A 7,511-nucleotide genomic window follows, 5' to 3' on the forward strand; every position below is an offset into this window, starting at 1 on the left:
CTGTTGCTCCTGGATTTTTCTCGTCGTGAAAAAGCACTTCCTTACATGGATCCCATTTCTTCTTTGAACCGTCCACCGAATGTGGCCCTCGGCAGCTGCACTGGCCATGTCCTCTCTCTTCCCTGTGACAATGTTTTGACCGCTGGGCAGATCCTGTGGCCTTGCAACTTTTCTCTCTGCTAAGTGCCGTGTTCTCTTCTCCCAGGTGGACAGGGCACAGGCAGCGGAGAGAAGCCGTGTAGGGCCGGGTCCCGTGTTCCACCAAGCATGACACCATAAAACACTGGCGAACGATCAGGGCCAGGCCCCGTGTTCCACCAGGCATGACACCACAAAGCACTTGCAAGTGATTTTATGAGAGTCATTTTTTCTCTTCCATTTTCGTATACAAATCTAATCTTTGGAGAACCCTCTCCCTTCTAACTCACATATTATGGGCTTTCATCAATAATAATATACGATCAATTACTCAAATGTAATTGATTAGTCGAGAGAACCGTATTTCCCCTCTTAGTTTGTGTCTGACTGGTTATAAAGCACAGCCATTGCTGTGGGTGGTGGCCCTGCCCTTTGGCCGTGGGCTATCTTTACCTTTTAGCTGAGATTCAATTTATATGCAATTTGCTAACGTTAGCTTAAGAAAAATCCAAAAGGGCACTTTGCGGCCCAGCCCCGCAGAGGACACCAGCCCGGCTTTGCTAAGTGGCCTGCGAGGCGGGCCTGCGGCTGAAATGGCCTTTTGCGCTGGCTCTCAGCTTTGTTCATCTTTATTTGGCCACACAGATAATTTTTTGTCATCAGAAAGTTGAGTTCCACAAATCCAATATCCCCCAATTCAATAAAGAGAATCAGAGCCTGTTTTGACCAGTCTGCATCTCTCTCGGCTGAAACAAACCCGTGGTGTTTTACCAACATGGCAGCGATGCCCAGACAGCGCCCAGCACAACAGCACAGGGAACCGCAGGCCCCGGCCCAGGACACCATGGCCTCCCATGTGCAGGGGAGAGCGGAGGCTCCTAGCACCCGGGCTTGTGCCTCTCACAACCGCTGACCTGTCTGCCTGTCTCCACGTTCCCGCCTGGTGATGTGGTTGGCTCAGGGCGGGCAGGATCCTGGGAGTGCAGGGCCTGTGCCAGAAGGCTGGAGCGCAGCCTGTGCGGTGACGCTAACTGCGCCTCTCTGGCTTCCTGGGAGAAAGGTGGGCGGCAGGCCCCGACACTGGGGGCTTAGGAGGTGTCTGCAGGTTGGCCATGTCTACAGCCAGGTTGAGACTCCTGAAGAAACAGAGTAGAAAGAGGGGCTCCTTTGAAGCCCCATGTCCCTCAAGGCCCCATGCAGATGCTCCCCGTCCACGTCAGCTTCACCATCGCCCTGGCAAGGATTAATTTCTCCTTCCCACCAGTCCCACAGAATGGAGCTGATACCTCTCTTTAAGTCCTATCAGACAGGAAGAGAAGAACACGAGGAAGAAGGGAAAATAGCGAAACCTGCACCCATCACCTCACAAAGCACATCAGGGTCATTGTCTTCAAGGACCCTGGGAGGCCAGTGGTGCCGTCTCTCTGGCGTCGCCTCTCCTCTGTCCTCGTCACACTCAAAGGCCGGGAAAGGATGGCTTTGGTGAGAAGATAATTCCTCGCTGATGATCCACTTTCTCACTTCCCATGTGTCCCTCTCTGGGCTTTGACCTCAGGACAAGCCAACAAGTGCCTGTTCCGGTTTCACAGCTGCTGGCAGGAGACATGAAGCTCCCGGGTCAGAGACAAAGAATGCCACCACTCCCAGCTCAGCAAGCACAGGAGTGTCACTGCCCCGTCCATTTCCTGGTCCCTGAGTCCCACAAGAGTGATTCAGAGGGTGACACTACACACGCAGCCGGTTTGCTGCGGAGGAACACGGGGCTGGGGCGTCTGCTGCTTTTAGAGCAGGCCTGCCCTTTGTCCAGGAGGGAGGTATCGCTGTATCCTCCAAGGTTGCTGCTACAAACCAACTCTGAGAGATGGTCTGGGGACAGGGTGGTCAGGGTCTTGCCTTCCGGGCACCCCAGCATGAATGTGCAGGACCGCCAGAGCCACAGTGGAGTGCCTCACCCAAGCCCTTTGGCCCCCAGGCCCTGCAATCTGGCTTCTCCGACACCCTAAGGCTTCTTACCAAGTCACTCCACTCCTGGTCCTTATCCTACTGGGTCTTGAGTGTTGATGCTGCTGGCCACGCCTCCCTGCTTGGACTGGGGTCCTCTGTTGGTCTTGGGTCATCATCCACCTGACCCCTGCCCAGCTGTCTCGCTGCTTTTTCTTAGTCCCCTTCATGTTCAAGTCTTATGTGCTGGGGGCACAGGGTACCCCGCAACACTGGCCTGCTATTCTCCTCTCTCCCTGGAGGGGAACATCCACTTATAGGGCTACAACCACCGTCGAGTTCTCCTGCCTGCTGGAAAGGCTTCTTCACCCTCATGCCGCTGTCAGCTGGAGCCGCAGCCTCTCAGGCCATTGCTGTGGGTGTGCTACCTTCTCCTGGGCCACCCACATTTTCCTTCTTGTCTGTCACCCACCCCTGCCCGCCCAGACCAGGAGCTCTCTGAAAGCCTTTCTGGAACAAAGAGAGAAATAATATACACCCATGTGTGTGCACTTGTACACACACACACACACACGCACACTCCAAGCTCCCTGAGGAAGGACCTGCGTCTTGTTGTCCCCAAGGCACCCTCAGCATTTAGCACTGGGCACTCAGTGGCCCAGTCATTTCCAAATTACTGAATCAACTCTTGAGTACTTACCGCAGCCAGTTGCCGCAAGATTAGATAAGATAACCCATGTGAAGTGCTTAGCAGGAGGGCTGGCTCTGTGGAGCCCCCCACCCAGTAACCACCGTTTCTAAAAGTGTTCTCAGGAGGTGAGAAGTGCAGGTGCCCCTCCTCCATAAGCCTTCTCTCCGAGGGCTTCCTGCAAAGTCCCCTCCAAGGAGCTGGTTCCCCAGCATTCCCTGGAGACAGAATCAGAAGAACCACACCTACGTTGCAAAGCACACTTCTAAGCACTTGCCTCAAAAAAGCCCCCCTCAACCCTGTAAAGAGAAAGAGGATGAATGGTGAGCTCCTGTTTGCAGACGCTGAGATGGTGTCACAGCTTTCACATTGCTTCAGCTAGAGGCAGAGGTATGCCCAGGGTGAGGGCCCCACCTGGGCTGCAGATGCCTCCATGGCCCTCTGCAGTCTCTGGTGTGATGGACTTAACATGTGTATCTCCCCTAAGCCCCCGTGTGATGGTGTCTGGAGACCAGGCCTCCGCAGGGTGAGCAGGTATAGATGAGGTCGTGAGGGTGAGGTCCTCCTGACAGAATCCCTGCCTGTCCAGAAGACATAAGCGTGTGCTCTCTCTCTCTCTCTCTCTTTCTCTCTCTGTCTACCCACAGGTACCAAGAAAGGCCACCCAAGGCCTTAGGGAGAAGGCAGCTATCTGTGCTCCAGAAGGAGGCCTCACCAGGAATGGAACGTGGCTGAACCTTGAGGTTAGACTTTGCAGTTTCCAGAACTGAGAGGAATAACTGTTTGTCGCTTAACCTCCCAGTCTGTGGCATTTTGTGATGGCAGCCCTGAGCTAAGAGACCTGGATTCCTGAGGGTGACAGAGTAAGGGGACCCCCGGGGGGTGGCCTCGCACCGCTGGCTACATGGAAGGTATCTGGCACTGGAGTTCTCTGCTCTGAACCTGGCCTGTAAGGCACAGGCAGGGCAGAGGGCATCTGATGTCCCTCTGCAAGTGCCACCTGGACGGGCGGTGGTAAATCCCAGCCTGACCGAGTGTTGACCCCGGTGAATGGCAGCAGCGTCCACCCTGGCTCTGTAGGGGCGGCCTCTGTGCAGCTGAAGGCGTCCGTCCTGAGGGGCCGCCTGACCCCTGGCCTCACCCCCCAACAGGGCGGCGGCCAACTTGTGAACAGGAGCGTTTCGGCCCCGGCTCCTGAAGCCTGCCGTGGAAGCCCTGCGCCATGCCCGGCCCTCGTTCCTCAGGGCCTCAGGCTGGAGTGGCGGGGAGGGTGGGCGAGGCTCCTGCCTGGCTGCATGCTGGCACTGTCAGAATCGTGGAGTTTTCCAAGCTGGAAAACGGAGACTTAGTGACTTGCAAAGGGGCTTTCCAAGCCTCAGGCCTGCATCGGATTCCTGTGGCTGCTGTCACAAAAGCCCTGCTCACCAGGGCCTAAAACAGCAGAGACGGCTCCATCCCAGGCCAGGGAGCGGCAGCGCCACATCAAGCAGGGCCAGGCTCCCTCCCATGGCTCTGGGGAGGCTCCTGGTGGCTCCCTGGCCTCCTCCTCCTGAGTCAGTCTGTGTGTCCCCATCTCCTCTTGCAGTTCCACTGGATCAGGGCCCACCTTGCTCCAGCAGGACCTGCTCTTAACTGATGACACCTGCAATGACCCTACTTCCAAAGAAGGCCACATTCCCCAGGCGCTGTGGGTTAGGACTTTAACATCTTTTGCAGGGGACGTAAGTCAAAAGCCTCCCTGGGGCAGCACCCCCGGAGGCCCCGGAACAGGCGCTCCTGGGCCTCTCCCCTTGTGGCTGCTTTTGTCCCCAGGGTTACTGGCATTTCCTCCTAGTTCTCCCTGGGACATAGCAGAGGAAAAAGTCCCCAGCAGGGAATGGAGCAGGTGATGGCTTTCCACCCGCACCGTGATCCATGCTGACCCTGCACCAAGGGGTAGGCGCACCTTGTCAGCTGCCTGAATCCCAAGAAGGGGGTGGGTTTCTGAGGATCCTGGCACACTGGAGCGGGGGCTCCCAGAGAAGCAGCCGTGTGCATCATGGGCAAGGCCGCGTGCAATGCCAGCGTGGCGCCGTGGCTCACTGAGTTCTGTTGAGTGGGAGATTAGAGGACAGAAGAGGAGGAGGCTCCGGGCCTCGGGCTCCCAGGATCCCCTCACACTCTGGGGTGTGAACCCAGCTCCACTGCTTCCTGGCTGCCAGCCCTGGGGCAGGTACTCAAATACTCTGCCTCTGTGTACTCATCCAGAACGTGGGACGATGATACGACCATCCTTACGGGCTGCTACGGTGACTGAGAGGGAAGGCTGGTGCAGCCCCCATGTCTTCAGCCATGGTGGGGAGAATGAGGGGCAGCTCCCCTCTGCGTGTGTGGGTGTGGGGACATGGGGACAACCTGCCCCTGTGTAGCATGAATCACCATCAACAGGACACCTCTGGATATCCCGGTGCTGGAGGGAGGCAGAGGTGAGTGCCTTCACCGTACTGGGATGGGGGCTGCCCGGGTGGAGGTGGTGGGAGGCCTTGGAGATCCCTGGTCCTTCCTGCCCCTCATATCACAGGAGGGGAGTCTGAGGCCTGGGCTTGGAGACTCACCGCAGTAGCACAGCCTGTTGGTGACTGGTTGGGTACTGTGCCCCAAGCATCTTCTGGGGTCAACACCAGGCTCCAGGTAGGCCCCTGAGACCGTGGCTCCCGCTGTGATGTGGCGTGTTGGGGAGGAGCGTGGTGTGGCTGGCAGGGTGGTGCTGTGTGCCCGGGGCAGCTCCTGGGCCGCAGTGTCCCCCTTCCACACTGGTGACAGCCACCCTCCAGCAGGGTGCCAGCGAGAGCTATTTGACGCAGATGTCGGAGTGGAATTTTGCAGTACGAACCCTGACTCTGCCTGGCCACGCGGTGTGGCCAGTGCTTCTGTACACAGCAGCACCTTGTCTGCAGGGAAGGAGGCAAAATTGCACGTCCCCTCCTGGCGAAGGCCACTTGAGGCAGGGCCGGCGCTCACTGAGCCTCAGAAAAGGCAGTCCCCGTTGTTGATGAGGATGGTTGGACCCTGCTGTGGCTTGGGTTGTGGTGTCCTCAAAAATACTGAAGTCCAGCCCCAGGTACTGTGACCTTATTTGGAACGAGGGGCCACTGTAGATGTAATGAAGTTAAATGAGGTCACCTGGGATTTAGGGTGGGCCCTAACCAGTGACTGGTGTCATTATGGGAAGAGGAGAGGAGACGCACAGACGCCAGGAGGTGACAGCTGAGGCCGAGGCTGGAGGGAAAGGCCACAAGCCGAGGGAGGTGAAGGCTGACCGGCGACGCTGGGATCTGTGAGATGCCGGGAAGGACCCGGAGCGTGGTCCTGCCAGCACCTTGATTTCGGACTCTGGCCTCCAGGACCGTGTGAAAATAAATGTCTGCCATTGAGGGCACCCCATTGGTGGGGCTTCCTCCAGCAGCTGTGAGAGACACTCACAGACCCTACCAGGAGACGGCTGCGCCTCTGTGCGTTTTTGCCAAGGTGGCCGTTTGAGGAGAGATGAACTTGGGAGTGGTTCCTCAGGAGCTACACGGCATTCTGTTTCTCCCCCCTGGGGGTTGGTCATTTTATGAGAGAATTGGAGGAAAAAAAATCCCTTCCGACGCTCTAAGCCCGGGCCAGAGTGCCTGGAGCTCAATGGAGCGGGCATAATTTGTTTGCTTTGCAATTCTCTCCCCTCAGTGGAGACAAATTGATTTCTACGTGGAAATGGGCCGTGGCTGGGAGGCGGCGGGCTTGTGAGAGGGCAAGGTTTGCCGGGTTTCAGGAAGGGCTGGTCCGGGCCGGCAGGCCACGGCCCACCCACTGCTGGTGAGAATGTGCCCAGGTGAGCCCCTCCGGGACCCAGAACCCTAAAACTGCTCAGAGAGTTTGCTGTGGAGCCGCGCTGTGCCGAGCCTCTCCCGGTGCTGTCCCAAGCCTCTCCCCACGAGTCTGTGGGTGCAGCTGCTGGCCATGTGTTTACGGAACATCTCCCTCAAACAGAGGGACCCTGGTGGCGCCAACAGAGGCAGGGAAAACATGGGAACGGCGGGCCTGCCCTGGGCTGTGGCCTCCTGAGACATCAGACGCTGAGGGAAGTGTTGAAAGGCTGTATGATGACAGCCGCCATACAGGAAGGCCAGGGCATTGTTTAGCAAATAACAATTAAAAATTTATACTATTACTATTATGATGTCACCCAGAGTGCAGTGCACTGGCGCGATCTCCGCTCACTGCAACCTCCACCTCCCAGGCTCAACCAGTTCTCCCGCCTCAGCCTCCCGAGTAGCTGGGACCATAGGTGCACGCTGCCACACCCGACTTTTTACAATTTTTGTAGAGATGGGGTCTCCCTAGGTTGCCCAGGCTGGTCTCGAACTTCGGGGCTCAGGTGATCCTCTCACCTTGGCTTCCCAAATTGCCATAATTATAGGTGGAGCCACTGTGCCCAGCCTAAATAATTATTTTTTTTAAAAAGCCCAACTACTTAATATTCCACAAGAGGAGACAACAATCCCAGCTGCTATACCGAAGAATGAAGCTGATGTCTGGGAAATTCTCGCGTCCACCAGGCGGGGGGGTCTTCCTGGGTCTCATCTGGCCTCACCTCTGCACCATCCCCAATTGGTGAGTCCCAGTCACTCCCCGCAAGGGGGCCTCTAGGATGCCATGAGATGCAGCCGTGAGCAGGTGTGCATGGGAAGAAGGTTCGTGCTGGAGAAGTGCCTTTTCATGG

The sequence above is a fragment of the Homo sapiens genome, chromosome 4 (genome assembly GCF_000001405.40).
Source record: "Homo sapiens chromosome 4, GRCh38.p14 Primary Assembly".
In the NCBI taxonomy this organism is placed as follows: Eukaryota; Metazoa; Chordata; class Mammalia; order Primates; family Hominidae; genus Homo; species Homo sapiens.